The 21,888-nt window shown below is 43.3% G+C and overlaps 1 protein-coding gene across 7 annotated transcripts in view, besides 1 other annotated feature; it reads right to left on the reverse strand.

Annotated features, from left to right (window-relative positions):
• Positions 1-623: 623 nt before the first annotated feature.
• USP31 (ubiquitin specific peptidase 31) overlaps positions 624-21,888 on the reverse strand; it is an 88,047-nt gene continuing 66,782 nt past the window's right edge. For 4 of the 7 annotated variants that reach the window (NM_020718.4, XM_017023497.3, XM_017023498.3 and 1 more), the window contains 5 exons: positions 21,656-21,775; positions 19,164-19,389; positions 12,940-13,098; positions 11,263-11,415; positions 624-8,834 (listed from right to left, as the gene is read on the reverse strand). In NM_020718.4, the coding sequence (NP_065769.3) occupies positions 7,264-8,834; positions 11,263-11,415; positions 12,940-13,098; positions 19,164-19,389; positions 21,656-21,775 (2,229 nt within the window). In that variant the 3' untranslated portion in view covers positions 624-7,263. Of the gene's footprint in view, positions 8,835-11,262; positions 11,416-12,939; positions 13,210-19,163; positions 19,390-21,655; positions 21,776-21,888 lie in introns of those variants that run through there. The other 3 variants (NR_170599.1, NM_001387221.1, XM_047434389.1) reach the window with 3 other exon arrangements.
• Positions 7,188-7,689: an enhancer, noted in NCBI's record as "H3K4me1 hESC enhancer chr16:23079291-23079792 (GRCh37/hg19 assembly coordinates)". NCBI's record gives its function as "activates a minimal SCP1, AML or CMV promoter by ChIP-STARR-seq in primed H9 embryonic stem cells {active_cell/tissue: H9 hESC(primed)}" and the evidence as "EXISTENCE:reporter gene assay evidence [ECO:0000049][PMID:30033119]".

Genomic DNA, 21,888 nt, shown 5'->3' on the forward strand with positions numbered 1-21,888 from the left:
ACCCCTGTTCACTGATACCGTATTCCCCAACTCATACTGAATAAACATTTCCACACTCAGAGGCTAACCACCTGCAGGCTGGACTTCTAAAATGCATAAGAGATCTTTAGTGCCCCCACGTGGCCATAGGTGATGTGACATCCTCAGTAGGGAGTTCTGTCCTGAAGGGTGGGAAAGACAGCTGGAAAAATGTTGTTTGTATCAAAAATATTAAATATCTAGGGTATGAGACAGCGCAGGAAGAATGGCCCCTTTTATACTGCTATTTCTTCCCATCATAAAAGTTTGGTAAGAGGGGGAAAATAATGCGAAATGTTGAAAATCTGTTGGATTGAACCAGAATGTGAGTTTTTGTCCAGTTCCATGGCCCAGGACAAACTGTCTCTAATCCGTCATGGAGGAAATGGGAAGAACCATCCCTGATTGTGAAAATTATACAAGCATGGATGTGATTTTTTGTTTTAAACTTTTACACAGAAAACATATGTATACATCTTTCTGTAACTTGTGTTTTAAACACTGCAATTTTAAGGCATTTTGTAAAGACTGATGCAGTACAATTATTATTATAGTCAACACCAAAAAGATATCAGTTGGCAAGGGGGAGAAAGGAGAAATGTGGCTTGAAGAGGACATCTTGTAATAAATTTATTGTATTTTGTTACATTTTCCACTTTTCTCTTAATTCCAACTGTATACTATATAATCAACGCTGTTTCAGAAATAAAACGTTTCAAACGTAAAAATATAAATTCTGCTTCTTAAAAGTGCATACACTTTGAATAATAAAACATACAAATAAATAACAGAAATCAGTGACACATCTCATGCACTTGTTCTAAAATAAATTTAAAATGTACGATACACTTTTCTTCCAGCCTCTAGGAAAGACATCCTGCCTTCCATATTACTGTACAACTGAAAATGAAAACGACACAGAAATCACTATCCACGGTGCATGAGTAATACCAAAGCACTTTGTGTACAGTGATGTGACATGCAGCTTTCAAGACAACTACAGAAATTCCAGTGTAAAAACTGAAGAGTTCAATCAAGAAACGACTTATGTCAATGAGGCTTAAATTCAATTTTAACCAGTGGTGAGAGGCACAGTTGGTGAGCAGACCTCTATGGAATGCAAACACGTATTTGAAAGGCCTACAAAGAGAACTCCAACTTCGGAAATACTGTAACTGCTTTTGCATTTGGTATGACACCACACCGTTTATAATAGCACCTAGGAAATTTCATATTGCATTTGGACGACTGCAACAGATATCATTATTCTGGATGGCCTTTCTAAAGAAACATTTCCAACTTGCATGTCTACTTGTATCTTCATTCCTTAAAATGTTGAAAACACCAGGTAAATTGTGGTGTTTTGTAGGCAGCATGAGGCTCGACAGAATGAAACCATCAGATTACTTCGAAGGTGTTGTAGTGCATTCAGCTCACCACAGATTAAAACTAAATTTTATTTGCCTCCACAGTTAACACAGAGTGCCAAATTCTGGGATGTGTATTACTTAATGGTAAAACAAACAAAAAACAAAACAAAACAAAAACACGAAAAAATAGCAATAAGGGTTTTTTTTTTTTAAAAAAAAGACACCAAAGAAAATGTTTCACATTCATTTTCAAACTAAAAAAAAGAATTCCTGAAACCACATTCTGGATAAGAACTATCCTAGAGAATGAGCAAAAGTAGGAAATTCAGCGGCAGCCTGGGGTTTGCTACTGTAATTCCTACAAAAAGGCAATAATTCTATCAAAAGCAGGGACAGGCTTTCCAAGGCTAGGAAGGTTGTTTCTTTTCTTCTTCGACAATTTCTAGCTCAGAGTGACTTCCCTATTCCCCCACGGGCCTGGGGAAAAGGTTCTGGGGACAGATGCAAACCCCGCGGGGACACTCAGCCTGCTCCAGCAACTAAGACCACCAATTTCCACCAGACTGGCGAGTGCTAGGCCATTCACAACATGGTCCAAGCTCCCCAACTGGGCCTTGAATCAGAAGGGCCCTTGTATTTCAAATGGGAGTTTGATATCAGTATCTCTCAATTCTTTTTATTCTTATTTTTTCTGCTTCTCCTACACAACTGAGGAATCAGTCACTCCTGAGTAATTCAAATGGCAGTGATTCTCGCCATAATTCTCAGTAAAGGGATGACGTATCATAGTGGTTCTCAATCTGTCTGCAAATTAGAAACACCCAGAAGCTTTTAAAATACATGGTAATTCCTGGATCCCACCCCTACATGAATTAGATCAAAAGCTAGGGACTGGGACCCAGGCACTGTATTTTTTAAAGTTCCCCAGCTGATTCTAGTTAATGTGGGTCTTCACTATCTCAGACAAGTCATTCAGAAGAGGCTTAAAAGAATCTTGAGGAAAATACATGTGTGAGATTCAAAAAAGTCTCTCAAATTTGCTGTGCACCCCTTCTCCCAAAAATTGGGAAACACTAAACAAATGTAAGATGGATCTAGAACCGAATCCACTGCACAACACTCCCAGAAATTCCATGGGCTTAGTCTAATTGTGATCAGTGGCTGGGAAGCCCCAAAGCTTTTCAAAATAGCTCTAAGTCTCTATAAAAGCATCTTTTAATTCTTAGCACTATTAGAAGCCACATTCTTTCCTTGTGACCAAAATAGAACCCTTGAAGATATAAAAAATTAAAATCTATAGAAAATGGCAGGTTATTTTTAGAACAAAACACTTTAGGAAAGTCTTCAGGCTAAATACAGTATGTACACCAATGATGTGTGTTCAACATATCCAATTCCACTTCTGCTTGCAAAATACTTTACAATCTCGCCAATGATCAGAAAAACAGCAGAGAAATATATGCAGAGCAAAACAAGAAATCGCATTCATGCTCTTCTACACAATGATGAGTAAGCCATATTTTGAAAATCACAAATTTAAAAATAGAGCTCCATAATTGTTGCCTTTTTTTTTTAAGACTTAACATTTCATGTCTATATGTTTTATTGTTTGCTTGCATAGGTAGTAAGAGCATGCTTTCTGAGTTATATGGAGGCCACGCACAATTGTTTTTACTTGGGGAAAAAAATGGTCATGCTCAAAATGCATCTGCAAAATACTTTGAAAGTTGATCAAAAGGCAGTGTGAGAGTGTTCATTTAAATAAAACCACTGGATTTCTCCCCAAACCATGTAGTAGAGTTTAACAATAATGTACCCTTTATGAAATGAAAGTTAAAGACAGCCTGCACAGTAACAGCTACTTTTTGTGTTCGTTTGTGATAGGTACTGGTTTGTCAGCAAAGTTTGCCTTTCTCAACTACAAATAATACAAAGTTCCACGCACCTCCAGAATACGTGTTTTATTGAAACTGTGCTTATGACTTGCATACTATTTCAAAAATCCAACCCAGAAACACTAGTTAAATCTTTGTATCCAATAATTATAATAACCTACATTGGAAACAATCACTTCGGCTGTTCAGTAATTTGTCCGAATGAAATGTAACGTCTGATGCCCCTCTATGTGAAATAAAGCACGCTTATTTCAAATAAATGAGCTTTGTTCACAGCTCTTCTCTGCTCCATTTTCCCTAAAGGCTGCCACTCTTGGTCCCTTTACATACTGTTGCTATTTTTTTCATGATAGTTATTTTAAGGGAATGACAATGTTCCCCTCAAATCCCACATCCGTCTCATACAAACATAAGATGACCCAATGTTAACGTAAAGTGACTGTGTAATGGATTTTCAACCCCTAAATAGTAGAGACAGCTCAGTCTGAAAAGGTGGATGGAAGAGTAAAATGTCTCTAAAGATGAAGGGCACTTTTGGTTTCCAGAAGGAACAGACTTGCTCAAGAGAACCACAAGCCTTAGCCGATTTGACCGGAATCCACGTGATCTCTTTTCCCAGGAGAACTGTCACTCCATTTAGGACACCATCACATCCCTTGCTTGATGGGCTGTGCTCCCAGGGCTCCTCAGCTACAGCAAATCCCTGAAGCTTTCAGTTTTGCCTCTGTGCTCAAAGAAGGCCCTCCATAAACGTTTGCAGAATGAATGATGAAAACAAGATTGCAAAAGCGTGTCAGGCAGCCTCACAGATAATTACAGTATTTTAGCACACCACAAATACTCCCACATCCGTTCCCACTGGTCCAGCATATTATTACTTACTTTCAGTTCAGCTGCTTTCAGGACGAGAAAATACAAAACGGATGGGAAATGGTCTAAGATGACTGGAGCCTAACGGTTTGAGTTTCCACATTATCTAAGGGATTACCAAGGCAAGATGTAGGGCTGTCTTAAGGAATGATACGGCCTCAGTGCAATGGATGTTTACAAGAAATCAAGAATAAAACTTTAAAAAGCAAACAAACATTACAGATACAACATTACTGTTGGTGATTATTTTGTGCCTACCAGGAGATGACTGCTCTAATCAGGCCCATCTAGATGTCAACGAGAAACCCAGGCCTATCATCCCTAGCAGATAATTTTTAACCCCAAAGCACATACACGCTCATTGTGCTAAATATTGCTGGGAAAATTAAAAAAAAAAAAAAAAAGAAAAGAAAGAAAGAAACCAACACCAAGTCCCCAACCCTACCAATGAACTAAATTGAATCAAGTAACTACTTTCCCACAAGATACTTCCCACCTCAAGGAGCACCTCCAAACTTTCGGGCCAAATAACCTTTCCTGTGGCCTAAAGTTGTACCTAGTAGTTGGAGATAATGAAATTTTCACTGTTTACCAACTATGGAAATAAAATAGCTTCATGATGTCTAGACAATGCCATGATACTTCCTGATTTTTTCTATTAAACCTGAAACAAGGACTAAACTCCATGACATACAGTTTATAGACACTGACATTTTATTCCAGATCCCATGGAAAACCAAAGGGATTTGTAGAAACGTTTTTCCTTTTTTTTTTTAAGTCACTAGACATCGTGGAAAATCCATTCCTAGATAACTCAAGAATAAAAATATTTACCACTGTGAAAATTAAACTAGTTTCTATTAATGCTTGACTACAGCAAAAAAGAAGTGTTATTAAAAACCTTTGTCTAATCAAACTATAATTGTTTCAGAGATTCAGATAGGAGACTTCAAATGAGATCTACCTATTAAACAAAAATGAGAGGTTTGAGTTAGACATTCAATTCCTGATATAGATGATCTCTTATTTGGTGCATCTTTTTCAGGAGATAAAAGCGATACAGAAAAACGAGAGCGGTGGCTACACACTGATGGGGCTGTGATGTGCTGGGCTGAACGCAATGACAGCATCGAAGGCAGCCAGTTGCCGCAGATGTACTGAGCAGATGAGAGTGGTACTGCTTTGAGAACCCACCAAAATCTGAACAGTAAAACCAGGACAGCGAGTGAAGAAGTGAGTACAGGGCTGAGTGCAATGGACAACAGGCTCACAGTCAATGAATCACATGGAGCACTGTGGTAACTTTCACAAGGCTAAATGTCTAAATCTTAAATACTGCCAAGGGTCTAAAATTCCAGCTACCCTCAACAGTAAGTGGTCTCCAGACTTGCAAGTTACCGGCTAATGCGCAAATTAGCAGCAAAATAAAGTTAAGTAACGTACTAAAAACTTTTCCCAAGAGATATTCTTGGGGGGAAAAAAGAAAAAAAAAGTAGTGCAGAATTCACAGCTATGCATGCATATGTGTTGTAGTTAATTCACACACAGCAATACTGAAAAGGGAGGTTATATATGGATCTGTGCACCAAGGGTTCAAGAAGAACTTGAAGAGTCTGACGAAAAACGCTAATATTTAAAAGCACATAAACTTAGCATGCTGTATTTACTGGCAAAGTGACAAATGCTATTCAGAGAGAATCAAGACCTTCACTCTCTTGACATTTAAAAAAAAAAGAAAAGCTAAAAATTGAGCAGGAAAGTATTGCCAGGAGACCTTGAAAAAGCTTGCAAAACTATATACTTTGCTTATCTGTGAGGTTTTTTTTGGTGAGGTTCTCCTTTGTAAGAAATGCAATTTGCACTGACACGGCCAGATGGAACACACTCCAAAACCTGCTTGTGAGTTCTGGGCATGAGATGAAATCTTAAGAACAAAGAAGAAATAATAAATGAGTTACTGAAAGGCAGCCCTAACAGAGACTGACAGACAGGATCTGAAGTGCATATGTAACACTTGATCACACAACGCTTCAACATACCACCATTGGCTTTTGGCAGAAGGCAACTTCTTTCCTCTCCAAGCTACAAGATGAGGGAACATGAGCCCACAGACACAGGGCATCGTGGAGCTTCCCACCTCTAACGGAAAAATGCAACACCTGACAAGGAAAATGATGTCCAGTCTTTCACCCAGTTTAGAATCTAGAAGTTTTTTCCAGGAATCTGTCAAAGGTGTTAACTGCTCTACTACAGTGCAAAATTCCAAGAGCCTTAGCTAGTAATTTCAGAAGGAAAAAAAATTAAACGAGTGACTGGCTTTCTGGCTATCCAATCTGCCACTTCCTAGGACCTATCCCAAGAGTCAAGACAGGTTTTGGTGCACATGTCACCACAGATAGGAAGGTGGTGAAAGGCTTCATTTCTACCTCGAAAATGTCTATCTGTGGCAGTAGGAGAAATGACACAGTCACCCACATGGCACCTTCCTCTTTAATCCATTTACTGGTGTGCAACCATCCTAGACTAGCTGAGTATATACCTGAGAAACATTAGTGTTAAAATATTGCCCTTTACAAAGACTGGTAGATGGGGCGAAAGTGCAGAAAGCAAGAGTTTTTCCCTCGATTTGTTTCGTTGTTAGAGTCACAGTTTTTAGAGCTCCTGGTGCCACCCACAATCCACAGTAAGGACAAGTCCTGCTCAGAAGAAACACGAGTCAGCTCCTTCCTCCTTCTACGCACTAATGGTAGCTTTTCTGGTTCACAGGTTTCAAAACCCTCATATCCAAAGAAAGTCATTAGAGTTCTCTAGAAAGAAATATGTACAATTGCTAAAGGGACCGTCCTGGGTATCGTCTACAATTATTCCAGTTAGCTTGGTGTCAATGTTTTGCCTATGGCTGTTATTTGGTTCAATGGCAGAATAAGGCGACGCTTTGAACAATTTGCAATTGAATTAGACACACACACGCATACACTCACACACACACACACAGTCGGGCACGTGACTCAAAAAAGTACAAAACAAAAGCACAGGAGGCTTTGGTGGGAGGGCAGGGGTTCTAAATAAATAAACATCTTTACAGATAAAACACTTTGATTGCAGAAATATCACTGAGGTTTTTGAGAAGGCCGTGCAGAGGTTTGCATGCTAGAAGATAACTTTTTTGAGGATTTCTCTGCAGACTGCCTGCCACCCGGAGACGAGGGAACTCCAGAGTCTAGTTGGGAAGACTTGGATTTGCGAGCGGACAGCAGGGAATGTTTGGCAGAAGCAGGGTCCTTGGTGACAAGCTGCTCTTTTCCCGTTGTATTTGCATTTGGCTGCTGGGAAGCTGGAGGCTGGTGGCCTCTCTCTGCCTCGTCGTCCCCGGTGTTCTTACAGACAGACTTAACAGAGCTCCCACCAGCCTTTTTAGAGAGCAAGGCTGTCTTGCCAAGATCCGTCGAGCGCCGGGTTTCCTTCTGTCTCAAGGCTGATTTGAAGAAGGACAGCCCCTTGTCCTCAGACTTGCTGTCCCTCTTCAAACCAGACTTGATGCTTGTGCTGGGGGAGCGCAGGCTGGCCATGGAGGAGCTCCGCACGTGCTTCCCGGCCCCCCTGCCCTCCCCTGCTCGGGCCTGGCTCACCCGAGGGGAATTGGGTTTGGAGGTGGAGGTGGCGCTGGCTCTGTCAGAACCCAAGCTTTGTCTGGAGCCCTCTCTACTCAAGCTGTGGTCTGAAGTCCTGCTCTTCCCAGGTGGGAAAGGGCTCCTTGTGGCAGGGCCCGAGGCCTTTTTGGCAGATGTGGAGGAAGCAGTGTAGGTGAGGGCCGAGGCTGACTTCTGCTTCTGTGGCGAAGGAGATGACACGGAGTCCTGAGATTTCGGGGATGACTCCTTTTTGGGTTGGGCAGGGGCAGGGGATGAATGCCGTCCACTGCCCCTGGAAGAAGAATCTGCTTTGCTGCGGGAGCGGGAGGGCTTTAGAGAGACTTTTACAGGAAGAGGAGAAGAAGGGGATGTACTTGAAAGGGATGACTCCTGGCTTGCCAAGGCTGGTCTCCCCTTCCGCAAGCTTTTCTCTGGCTCAGAAGTGCCTTTGGAACTGGGGGATCTCTTAGTTGTGCTCTCTGGTTTCTTTGCGAGTGAGCCTGGGTGGCTGGGGGCTTTCACCTCTTTGACTGGAGAGCTGTCTACGGAGTCGCTCTGATCCACATAAGCGATCTGATTATTGTTATCAAATGGACCAGAGAGCGGGGGCAGGCGGTCCCCTTGTGCTGAATGTTTGCTCTGTGTATCTACGACACTGGAGTTCAATCTGCGGGTGTCCGATTCGTCTTTGAACACGCCTTCCATGACAGCCAGAGGGGCCCGGCCCACAGCCTTGTGCTCACGGCGACTATGACTGTCGCTTGGTTCCTGGTAACTGCTAGAAAGGTTCCGCAAGCTACCAAAGCAAGAGATGGAGACCTTGTCATCTGCTGCCTCCCCAATCTTCTCCAAGGTGGAAGCAGAGCTGTGAATTGGCGAATCCCCTGAAAATCGGGATGGAGAATTGGAGCGCATCTGCAGCTTAGCAGACAGGGACCATGAAGGTCTCATGCAATTTTCATTGACGGCCAAGGGGCTGGTGACAGAAGATCTGGATGACAAACTCTGACGCTGGACACTTCTCACAAATGGTCGAGTTGAAAAGCCTCCTGAACACAGTAAAGAGAATACTGTTAAGTTAAGCCAATGAAGACATTCTAACAACACTGTAAGACACTGAAGGTGAAACGAAGGTAAGCCTCATGGGATGAAAGGAGCATGACCTTCAGAGCCAGCCCATCTGGGATCAAGGAGTCCCTGTGTGGCTTTGACTTTTCTGAGCCCAGTTTCCTTATGTATAAAATAGGGACATTCTAACTCAGGATCATTCTAACACAGCAAACTTCTATTCGCCTCCTTGCCCTACATCAGGGCTCGGTATAACTTTTCCTGTGAAGGCCTAGACAGCAGATGTTAGGCTTTGCAGGCCAAACATTCAACTCTGTCACTGCTGCATGAAAGCAGCCACAGGTGACACGTAAGAAAACGTGTCTGACTGCGTTCCAAAAATGTTTACAAAGAAAGGCAGTGGGCTGTATTTGGCCTATGGGGCTACAGTTTGCTGACCTCTGGTCTAACTCACAGGGCAAGTGTGACGATTAAATACAACCTTACAAGTCCTGTGCCCAACAGAGCACCTGGCATTCCATAGATGCTGTGAGGTATTGACCCAGCTTCATTACCTTCCTGAAGGTGATCTGGGGCTCACAGAAATGAAGTCCTTGACCAAGATTACACAACTCATTAAAGGAAGAGCTAATACCAGAACCCAGAACCCCTTCCCGCACCACTCAATTCCACATGTAAGCTGGCCTGTCATTGTTGACTACAGATGTGGATCAACGCAAAGAGCTAAAAAGACTTGGATATCATATACTCCTAAATCCAGTAACTTAAAACTTCCAAAAAAATATTCATAATCAGAGGCCAGGCGTGGTGGCTCATGCCTGTAATCCCAGCACTTTGGGAGGCTGAGGTGGGCAGATCACGATGTCAGGAGATCGAGACCATTCTGGCTAACATGGTGAAACCCCGTCTCTACTAAAAATACAAAAAAATTAGCCAGGTGTGGTGGCAGGTGCCTGTAGTCCCAGCTGCTGGGGAGGCTGAGGCAGGAGAATGGCGTGAACCTGGTAGGCGGAGCTTGCAGTGAGCCGAGATCGCGCCACTACACTCCAGCCGGGAGACAGAGACAGACTCCGTTTAAAAAAAAAAAAAAATACTCATAATCAGAACCACATACTCCTATTTGGTGTGGCTCAAAACGTCCTAAGAAAATATTCTAAATTAAATTTTCTACACAATGATACTACAGTTGTGATATTTACAAAATTCTGTCTTTATAGAGCCTAAGAAACAGGCTCTATTCTGTGGGCACCACCCAGCACCATTATACAATGATGATGCTTAAAAGGATACTGATTTCACCAACTGCACTGCTTAAAAATAGACTGAGGCAAACCTTATTGAGGCTTATCGTTAAAATGACAGTGAATTCTAAGTTTAAAGGCAGTACTGAAAATAACCTCTGCCTAAACAAGCAAAGGTTCACCAGTCAGTTTTCCATAAGATGTGAGGAGCCGGAAGGAGCTTAGGAATTGCAGTCCAATGTTTTTATTTTACAAATAAAGAGGAAGAGGCAACAAGCCAGAAGAGGTGGCAGAGCTAGAGCTATGGTGCAGCTCTCTTCACCTGGCATTCTTCTTCCAGCCTATTGCAATTTTAACTCAATTTCATTTTCTCAGAATTATCCATCACCACTAGAAGCAGATTACAGTGATCGAAATGCTGGCTGCAGACTGAGACTTGTTGGCAGATTGAGTCACTATGCTCATTATAGAAGCTGCACTCACTCCTTCCAGCTCCCAGTACTGTGGCTGCCCGGTCCTTCCCACACCACCTGGGTCCCTGTCGAAACTAAGGTCTATCCTGCCATTACCCAAGCAGAAAGTGAAAGTTTAAAAAGAAAAAAAAAAAAAAAGAGTTCAATTTTTATCGGACTTTTTACTATCTCTATGCAAAGGCAACAACAGCTTTTGTTTTAGATGCTTCTGTACTAAAAAGAACATTCCACAGCTTCCTCCCTGGGGAGCAGCATGTTGGAAGGTGAGGCTCTCCTGGGGCCAAGAGAGCCAGGGGCCTCCATGCCAAGCCTGGAGCCGACTCCCCACCACGTGGCCTGGGCAAAGCACAATCTCTCTGAGCCTCTTCCAGCTATCCTGCTTTTTAAAACACTTTGGGAAAAAAAAAAAAAAGTATACATTGGTATATAAAGCTCCAGCCTCCACAAGAGACCTTACAAGTGGAAAATAATGAAGTGGAAGGAGAAAGTACTGGGACACAGGAAAAGCAAATGACTCTGTTAATACAAAATGCTTTTTAGGATCATAACTCACAGCTACACAGCTCCACTCCCTGTAGCTCCCTTTGGGTTCTCCTACCATCTCCTTGGGACTTAGCTCCTAGGAAAAACACGAGGGACTCTGCTGTGTCTGTGAGTTACCATTCTGGAAATTTGTCACCAAAACCCACACCCACCATCATCTTCACTCCTTTCTCCAGTCATCTCCACGGACTCAGAGAGCGACGCCAGGGAGGTGCGTCTGGAGGAAGCTGCAGAGGTCACGCTGGCTGGCTTGCTGCCCGGGAGCCGGCTCACCCAGTGTTCACACAGGGAAGAACTTGTGGAGCCTGCAGAGAAGAAAACAGGCATAGAGGTCAGGCTGGGGTCCCTCGGCCAGCCCTGAGCCACACACACCCTCATGAAGGTGTTACGAGCTGAGCTGGGGGGCGTTGATGTCCTCACCCCGAGGTCAGCATCAATTCCCAGACCCTGTGTCATGTCGTGCCTGTCCGAATATCCCCAGTTAAGATGAAAAGATGTAAGGCAGACTTCCTGACGCATGAAATTTGTAGTAATAAAATGCAAGGATAGGGATGAATACTTTATAATGTAAGTCTGAGTCTAAAGAATTGGCAAGAGAATGGAATAGACAAGCACTCATACATTCATTCTACAAATATTTATGAAGCATCTACATGCCAGGCACTGTTCTAAGCAATTGCAGTAATATTTCTTACACAAAGAGAAGAGAGGATGCGGCAGTATACTCTTTTTCTCTCAGCCTGTTTTAAGGAAATTTGTCACCATTTTCATAATATTAATAATACACACACACAGCTATATGTCAATCTGCCCTGTCTGTTCCAGGGACGCCCTTAAATATTTATTAGGGCAAGAGAAATTGCTCTTGAAACAGAGTACATGAAGCAGCATGACTGTCTCAAGTAGACCTCAAGAAGGTGTCATTTCTGAGCACATCTGAGACTGGTGGAAGAGCACTGGAGTTCCCGCTGTGTTAACTGAGTGAGTGGCTGTACACTGGGTGGGCTTGGCCCCCAGCAGGGCGTCATTCTGCTTGAGAGATGCCTTGTTTTCACTGCTTTGAACTCACCCCCTGCAAGCTTCAAGAGAAGCAAGGATTCATAGCCCCTAACCTGATTGCACATCACCACATTCCAATCCTCTGTCACGCTCTCTTGAAGTCAAACTCTGCATTCAGAAACGTGTGTCCACTTGTTTGGATTATGTGTGGCTGCATTCATATTGTGTGTGGGTACTGGTCCCTGCATTTATTAAACACAACAGGCTGGATGTCATCCGGCTAAACCCAAGCCACCTAATATTATCACAGCCATCAATCCTTCTCCTAACAGAATAGTCCAATCTTCTCACTGGAAAAGCAGACTATTTCTAATGGTCCTTTACCCTTTACAAAATGTTTTAACACACATTTATCTAACTGGATGCTTACGATGACCCCATGAGGTAGGCATTATTATTACACCTGTATTATAGATGATTGCTATGTGGCCCAGATGGGACAGGCTCCAGGATAACCCCAGGACAGCGGGTAGTATGCCACGCTGCTTTTCAGCTCACCCATGCATTTATCCACAAGAACACATCATGAGCTTTCTTTGCGCCAGGTCCAACCCACTGTCCCCAGTGAACTCCACTGGGCCACAGGTGCTGTCACATTCCTCCCCAACTTCCTTGACTGCAGTCATTTTAGTTTCCAGATTAAATGGAAACGTAAGGATTCATCTGATCAAACTGACAGAGTCATGAGAGCCTCCAGAGAGGTCCTCTAGACCATTCATTACAATCTTTTGCTCTGGAAAAAACTGCCCAAGAACAAGAGTGGACCTCACCTGCCACCGAGCTGTTGGCTGACCATGACGGGATGGCTGTCCGCCTCTGGTAGAAGAGGATGTATGCTGTCTGCGTGCAGACCTCATCTTCTGACAGCTGCTGCACATCGCTGTCATCGAAGCAGTACCAGAGGCCGTCCACAGAGTTCTTACAGTACGCTGCCAAAGAGAGCCCGCCATCAGCACCAGGGGAGGCTGCACCAGCCACTTCATGCGACCCACAGACACCATCTCTTTGGCTCATCTAATTAACTCAAGAACGTTTTAAGGCTGCGTATAGCAACACAGAAAGAGATTAAAAAAAAATTCTAAATTCTGTATCACACTCGAGCAAAATATCTTGAGAAATTCCAAACCATTCCAAGTAGATGCAGTTCCAGTTCATCTTAGAAAACACATACTTATTTAAACCAATGGGTCTCAACCAGGGAACTGTGTCTGTGGCGGGGGGAGTGGGATTTGGCAATGAATGGAGATGTTTTTGATTGTCACAACTCAAGGGAGAGGTGCTACTGGCATCTAGTGGGTAGAGGCCACGGATGCTGCTAAACATTCTATAATGCACAGGACAGCCCCCTGCAAGACAAAACTGTCCGACCAAAATGGTGCCAGGGTGAAGAAACCCTGAGTTCAGTGTGTTGCAACATTTTAGTGTCTATTAGAAATAGCAAATAATATGAATAGAAATAACAATATAATGATATGATAGCAGATAAATATAATATGTAACACTTATTATGTGCCAAGCATCTCATTTAATCCTCAGATTTGTTCTCTTATTACTCCCAATTTCCAGAGGTTGAAAAAGATTAATCTGCTTGCCCAAGGTCGTGCAGCTGGTGAAAGGCAGGAGCCCAGCTCATTTCAGGCTTATCAAGTCCTTGGCTTGCACTTGAAGCCCTATCCTGCCCTGCTTCCCTCAGGGAGGAGCACAAACCAGGCTCCATGGAAGTTCCCTGGCAGACTGAGAACACATGAGCTCATGAACGCAGGAGGACTTCTTTCAGTCCAAATTCTAAGCCTGAGCTAGAAATAAAGAACATTCAAGTAGCAGCAAAAACAGACGAAAACTTAAGAGTTCACAAACCCAGTCATCCTGCAAGGATATATCAAAGGGTGTTATAAGCTTGATCCAGAAAAGTACATTATGATCACATTTTCTAAAAATATGCATTTATTTGGGGTGAGAATAAACGAGTGCTAGAATATTTAGCTGAATGCTGGAACAGACTCAGGATGGCCCCAGGGATGGGGCAGATAAGGTCCTGAGAGGCACCAGGAGTGACTCCTTCAATGGGCCATAACCATTTCCGCAAGTATGGAGACTTAAGGGATAAAAGAGACGCGGGTGAGAAAGGGCTACACCAGACAAGTCCCCCAAAATGAGAGCAGAATAAGGACCTATGAACGGAGGCAGGGAAGTTATTTGCAGCTGAGAACTTGCCGGAACCAGAAGGGAAAGAACTTAAAATGTAAGCAGCAAATGGAGCTCTAAGGAAACAGCAATTGGCCAGTGGCGTCAGGTCAGGCTTGATGCACACATGACCCAGCTGGGGAGTAGCTGCTCTTCTGGAGTGGTGAGTGGGAGCAGAGCTGTGAGGGACATGCCCAAGAGAAGGAGACAGAACAGCCTTGCCTCCTTTCAGCCTGCTCCTCTTCAGAATGGCCTCTTCTCAGTCACAGTGTGGAAACTGAGACAGCACAGCAAACTCATTAATTACAAAATAATTCTACTTGCTTTTCTTCCTAGAACTACTTTCTGAAGTATTCTCTAGGCCAGTGCTACTAGAATTATGGCTCACGGACTGACACGAGCCCACACGAGAGAAGCACCAAAAAGGAGAAAAGCATTTAAAAAACTTTTATAGCAATCTGATACTGCCGTGATATTTTTATTGTATTCTTACAAATGCACTAGTTGATAAAGGATTGGAAATTTTAAAGTAGAAAAAACCAAGTTCTTCATCACAGATGGTGTGAGAGGCACTGTTCTAGAATCCTTACACAATCGATTATATCATTATACCATCGATTATAGCTAGAAACAGTGCAAAATAAAGATTACATCAAAATAAACATTCCAGGCCGGCCATGGTGGCTTATGCCTACAATCCCAACACTTTGTGAGGCTGAGGCAGAGGACTGCTTGAGATATGGAGTTCGAGACCAGTCTGGACAACATAGTATAGGCCCTGACTCTACAAAAAAATTTAAAAATTAGGCAAGTGTGGTGGCGCACACCTGTAGTCCCAGCTACTTGGGAAGCTGAGGTAGGAGGATCTTGAGCCCGGGAGGCTGGGGCTGCAGTGAGCCACGATCACACACTGCACTCCAGCCTGGGTGACAAAGTGAGACCCTGTCTCAAAACATAAAATAAACATTCCAAATGAAAACTTAAAAATGGGGATGAGGGGTGAGAGAGCATCAGGAAGAATAGCTTAATGCATGCTGGGCTTAATACCTAGGTGATGGGATGATCTGTGCGGCAAACCATCATGGCACATGTTTACCTAAGTAACCAACCTGCACATCCTGAACACGTACACCTGAACTTAAAAGTTGATGTTAAAAAAAAAAAAAAAAGAAAAAACTTAAAAACAGAGTATCTTTCATTCAACAATGCGAAGAATATTTAAAATGTTCTCTAAACTAAGACTCTAAACATCTCATATACTAGAAAAGTGGTGGTAGGGTCTCAGCATGAGAAAGGGGAAATAATACAGAAAACATCTGAGCACATCCTGGGTAATGGGTTCCTTGAGGTCAGCATGACCTCTTCCTGGCTCACTAACATGGTAGCCAAATTAGTGAACAGCTACCTGCCCCAGGACACAGAGCTAGAAAGATGTGTCTGGCTTCTAACCCAAGCTCCTTCCACCAAACTGTACTGCCTCTAAGGTAGTTGGAGGTTTCCAGGCATTTTCCAAGATCTATTCTATATATAAAGAGCAACACGATGCTAAAGTCTAGCCCTGTCTTATTCTTCCCAACAATTTCTTCCCAGAAACTATGTAACAAGCCAGTCCATATTTTCTTGAGAAATAGTGTTATAAATGGAAAACACATTCTTTACCAAAGCTGAGCTGGTGAACGCCAATCAAGGATGCTGGCAAAGGTGTTACAACACCGGGTGAGTTGTGAAGTTAAATGACCTCCACATCCCTTTCCATTCTACCAGTCCACAAGTATAGAATTCCATCACTCAGTACCAAAGAACACAGACATGACTGGTAATGCCACAAAAGCAAAAATCCAACAAGACACAATATTTGTATACATGGCCCCCATAAAATAGAAACCTAAAATATGTAAGATACCAAATATACTATTATCATCATTGAAATATGGTTTAAACCAAAGTACAAGGCAAAATATATCTAAACATTTAATTCACATTAACTTTTGTCTTCTATGAAGTGAGAGCATCTTTCAAACTTCTCTAGCTTCTTTCTCTCCTTGAAAGCGCTTCCTACAGCAGGCAGAGGCAATCCAAGCCATTCCATCACAAGATGCGCTCAAAGTTGGGATCATTCCTCTCACAAACAATTGCTGCCTGCAGCATTTAAATATTTAAAGAACTTCAGGCAGTAAAATGAGTTTGAAAAAAAGAAAAATATCTATTTAAAGAACTTGAACTAAAAGGGTTTCAAGAATAAAAGATTATTGTGTCCAGTAATCTTCCCCAACCCCGGCCCTCCTGGAAGGGAACAGAGCAGACTGAAACAGTGAGTATGAAAGGTAGCAAGGCCAACGGACTCCTCTGCCTTGGCTGATGGGGAGGGAGGTTCACGGCTAAATACTAGAGAAAAGAGTCCCAGAGATTTAATAGTACCCAGGATTGGCCAGACCCCACCCCTCCTCCATCTCTCCCTACCTTTATAAATCAATGGTCAGCACTAGCACTCGGGGTCTTGTTGCAGAAACCACTGAATTAATAAAGAAAGTCCCTGAGAAGTATACATATATAACACACTGAGTGTGAAGGATGCAGAAATCCAAATCCTAGACACTCACACGGATAATCAAATTAATCACATCAACCCTCACATCAACGAATAAAGCCCTGAAATCTGCCTGGCTCCCAAAAGGCTCAAGCAGGCCCTTAGCCCAATGATTCCATTTCCAAGACTCAATCTCAAGGAAATACAGAATTAAAATTCAAAAAAAGTGAAAGAGCATAAAGATATTCAACAATGTTACACGAAAAGTTAAAAACCAGAAACAATATAGATGTTCAGCAATGGGGAAGGGTTAGATAACATTAGAGATCTATCAACAGAACATTCTGTGGTCATTAAAAAGTATTTATAGGCCGGGCGCAGTGGCTCATGCCTGTAATCCCAGCACTTTGGGAGGCCAAGGAGGGCAGATCACCAGGTCAGGAGATCGAGACCATCCTGGCCAACATGGTGAAACCCCGTCTCTATTAAAAATACAAAAATTAGCTGGGTGTGGTGGTGTGTGCCTGTAGTCCCAGCTACTCGGGAGGCTGAGGCAGGAGAATTGCTTGAACCCGGGAGGCGGAGGTTACAGTGAGCCTAGATCACGCCACCACACTCCAGCCTGGTGAGAGAGCGAGACTCCGTCGCAAAAAAAAAAAAAAAAAAAAAGTATTTATAAAAAATTAAGTGTCCACATCAAGCTACTTCTGTTACAATACTAGGCGTGAAGATGAGGATGCAGAAGGCATGCGCCACTCACCCCTCACTGTGCTGCTGTGCTTCTGAATTTGTGACCTGTCTATCCACCCCACTCTAGCCCATGAGGTGAGGCGGCAGGCTCCTTTCCCCGACAGCTGACCCTCCCCCTCCAGCACGCTCTGGCCACTCTCTCCTCTGGCTCTGATCTCTGCCCACTGCTCACACCTCCACCACAGAACCCATGATGTGGGACTCCTTTTTAAACCATATCTGTACCCACATCTCCCTCTACTTGATTACACTCTCAGAAGACAGAGGCTGGGGACCTACTGATCTCTGCTGTGATAGAGCCCAGGGCAAGCAGGATGTGAGGGGCTCAATAAATGTTCACTTGAACAACAACAACAAAATGCCAGTAAAATCCCAACAGTGGAAAATAATGGCAAAAACTTAAGAGAAAAACACGTCAAGTATATACTACATACCAAAATATTACCTACATACAGTGGAACATTACTCAGCCCTAAAGAGGCAGGAAATTCTGATACCTGCCACAACATGGATGAACCTTACAGACATTATGCTACATGAAATAACCAGTCACAAAAGAACAAATATTGAATGATTCCATTTAAAAGAGGTACCAAGAGTAGTCAAATTCACAGAGACAGAAAGTATGGTGCTTGTCATGGCTGAAGGGAGAGAAAATGGGAATTAGTGTTTATTAGGTACAGAGTTTAAGTCTGGGAAGATTAAAAAACTTGTAGAGATGGATAGTGATAATGGTTGCACAACAATGTGAGTGTACTTAATGTCACTGAACTGTACACTTAAAAATGGTTAAAATGGTACATTTTCTTATGTATATTTTATCGCAATTAAAAAAAATGTTACCAGTGGTTATCTCAGTGATAAGCCCATGGATGATGGTATTCTTTCCACCTCTAGACTCTAAATTTCATGATGAACATAGTTGCTTTTATAAATGACAAGGTCAATTTAACCTTAAAACAAAAAGAAAAACCCTTCTAAGTCACTTTAAAGACACTATAAAAGTGTCATGCACTTGTATCCCAGCTACTCTGGAGAATAAGGCAGGAGACTTGCTTGAGCCCAGAAGTTCAAGGCTGTAGTGTGTGATAATCACATCTGTGAATAGCTACTGTACTCCAGCCTGGGCAACACAGCAACAGCTCATCTTTAATTAAAAAAAAAAAAAGTAGTTCACAATCATTTAAAATGAGAGAGAAGATAGAACTCAAGGAACTCTATCTAGCAAAACCGTAAATGGGGAGCGCAGGTTAGGTAAACAAAGAGCAAATCCTCAGTTGACCAGACAATGCCATCTGCACATACCACTCCCCAATCAGTCAGCTACCTACTGGACGACCCAACTCAGGAAAAGGAGGAAGAATGTTCGTTTATTTGCTCTTGGGCAGAGATCCAGAGGATGGAAACTGCCCTCACAGTTGGCACACTGCCTACCGGAGGGGAAATGAGGCTCTAAAGTCAAGTCACCCTGCCACAAGCAAACCCGTCTGAAGGACTCGCCAGCACAGACACGCAGCCTCTCACACTGCAGACCTGTGTAGTGCCCCCCTTGCATGGTGCCATGGTGATTGCACACAGCATACAGGTCATAGATGTAGTCCTCAGGGTCCCTCCCGAGTCCATAGGGCCGTCTCCACGGGGACCAATGCGATGGCAAACTCCAGCTGCTCTGGCTCCTCTTAACCACGTGAGGTGTCATGTCCAGGCCAGTCAAGGGGAATTTGACCATGTTCTGAAGTTTCATGCGCCTGTCTCCTTCCTGTTGCAAGAAGAAAAACAAGTTCTGGTGATATTTTAATGCAAGCAGATGGCAGATCACTTTAGAGGGGAATGTGGATCCTATCAGACAAAGCGGTGTGAGTTACCTATCTGATGTTTCCCAAGACATACAAATCAGGGAAACAGATGATAGTTTTAGCTATCTAGAGGAACAGGTTTTAATATCAGCTAAGGTGGAACCAGTAAGGATCCATATAGAGGGGGTAAATGAGCCTCTCTGAGTCTTCCTTTCCTTATCTGTTAAAGGGCTTTAAAGCATTTGACTTAAAAAAAAATGACAGTATCAGGTGGCTCTTCCTGATACCTCTGTCAAAGAGACATGAAAACTAATGATGTGATGGCTCCATGAAGGGCAAACCACAGCGCCTGGTGCAGAAGAGCCTCTTGATAAGCAGTGCCTGTTCCCCTCCACATCCTCCAACAGGCACATCACAAGGCAACACTGTCTTAGCTTAATATATCCACTCAGTGGCAATCTTTAGTAATCTGTATTTTCCATTAAACCTATAGGGAAATGCTTTGAAATCCAACCATCAGTTGAAGAGATAATGACTGAATGTTTCCTGTGTCTATGGGAACTTTAAAAAATTAACCAGGCATAGATATGTCCACCCTAAGGAGCTACGTATAGGTCTGTGAAGGGAAGAAAAATGTTCATGAGAGAAAGGGATGATGGGTCCTGGGTGGTCAGGAAGGCCAGCCTGAAGAATCTGGAGTGTATCCTCTGTGGCTTTTATGGAAAAGGTGATGTCACCAGAGTTGTGGGTCAAGAACTGTGTAAGCAGTGCACAGAACATGTTAGAAATAGGAGTAATGGAGGTGAAAAATCAATTAAAATCATTGCAACAGTGACCAGCTGAAAAGCAACAAAATGTCTGAACCAGCACGCTGTCTGACAGCAAGAATGGGGAGGGGACACACAGGAGTCGATGAAGAGGCATGGCCATGCCTAGATGAGAGGGACAAGAAAGAAGAGTCAAAGAGGACACTGCAGGTTTGCCTCTGGATTGCTGGAAGGGTGGTGACATGCCTTCAAAAGAAAACAGAAAGCCCAGGAAATTACTCTGTGTCTGGGGAAGGAGAAACAGCAGGCTGGGATCCAAACCCTCAGCCAGCTTTCCACCTGCAGATCCCAACGGAATACACAGTGGGTGCCAAATGCCCACTCTTCACTCCCATAGGAGCTGAACCTCAAACCTCTGTGTGAAAGCCCCAGACCTGGGGACCATCTGTGTGTTGCCCCTGATACCTCCGCCTCCTCAGACAGTCCTCAACATCTCTCCGTCTCTACTGCCACAACCTATCCCATCTACTAGCAGCCCACCCTGGATGAAGGCAAGGGCCTCCTTCAGGTCTCCCCATCTTCATTCTTGTAGCCTCTAATCTGTTATCTACACAATATCCAGAATAATATTTTCAAAATACAGATTTAGTAAGGTTGCTTCTCTGCTTATAACCCTTCATCGGAATCCTACTCCGCCCCCAAAGGGTTCCTTGGACAACCAGCATCCACCCACGTCTTCCATCAACTCCCGCCACTGCCCACCCCTCTGGACTGCCTGCCCACCTGGCCTGCTCCCAGCCTCTCGTGCAGGCTGTGCTTTCTCCACTGTCGGGCTTTGCACACACTGCTCTCTCTGCCCCCGTGTGGGAGATCCCTGCTTCCACCTCACCTAGTAAAAGCTTGCTCATCTTTCAGATACAAACTAAGAGCCAGGCCTTGTGGAGTCCGCTAATGTTTACTTCCCATTTACCTCTTACAATGAGACTGTCTAGACAATCCTAACCTCAGGGAATAGACAGCCTTTTTGGAAAAACTGACTCACAAAGCAATACAATTCAAAGCAGATTTTCTTTGTATTTATTTATGACTCATCTCCCCAACCATACAACAGCTTCTCAGGAGCAGAACACCCATATTACATTAGGTAGAAACAGAATTCTACCTCCCCCAGAAAGGATCTCTACTTAGTTCTTTTTAAATCCCAGAGTACACTTAACAAAATTTAGGCACGACATTTACAAGTCAAGTAAAATATCTGCAATCTGAACTAAAATCAAATTTTGCCTTGGGAAAGAACAAAACATTACCCTAAACACAGGGGCAAAAGTGTGTCTATAACATACACAGACAGGACTCACTGGATCAAACAGGTATACCAAAGAACCCTCACAGAGCCCATCAGCAGGGGGCATAAGAAACTTGTCACAACTTGTTTGTTCCTGAGGATAAAGGATTTCCATACCTGCCGAAATCTCTTTAGATGTATAATAAGCACATCAGGCAGAGTCCAGAGGCTTAACGTAATGCTTCCCTGCTGCAGCTGCTTACAGTGTGGGCAACGCCAGGCATCATCGGGGGCAAGCTGAAAACAGAAGCATGACTCCCGTTAAGTGCCACTTAATGCAAGACTGTGTTACAGCTGGACTAATGCCTTAGCCAGGGCATGGTGCAACTCAAAATCTCTCTGTAAACCGC

This window comes from Homo sapiens, chromosome 16, assembly GCF_000001405.40.
Source record: "Homo sapiens chromosome 16, GRCh38.p14 Primary Assembly".
NCBI lineage: Eukaryota > Metazoa > Chordata > Mammalia > Primates > Hominidae > Homo > Homo sapiens.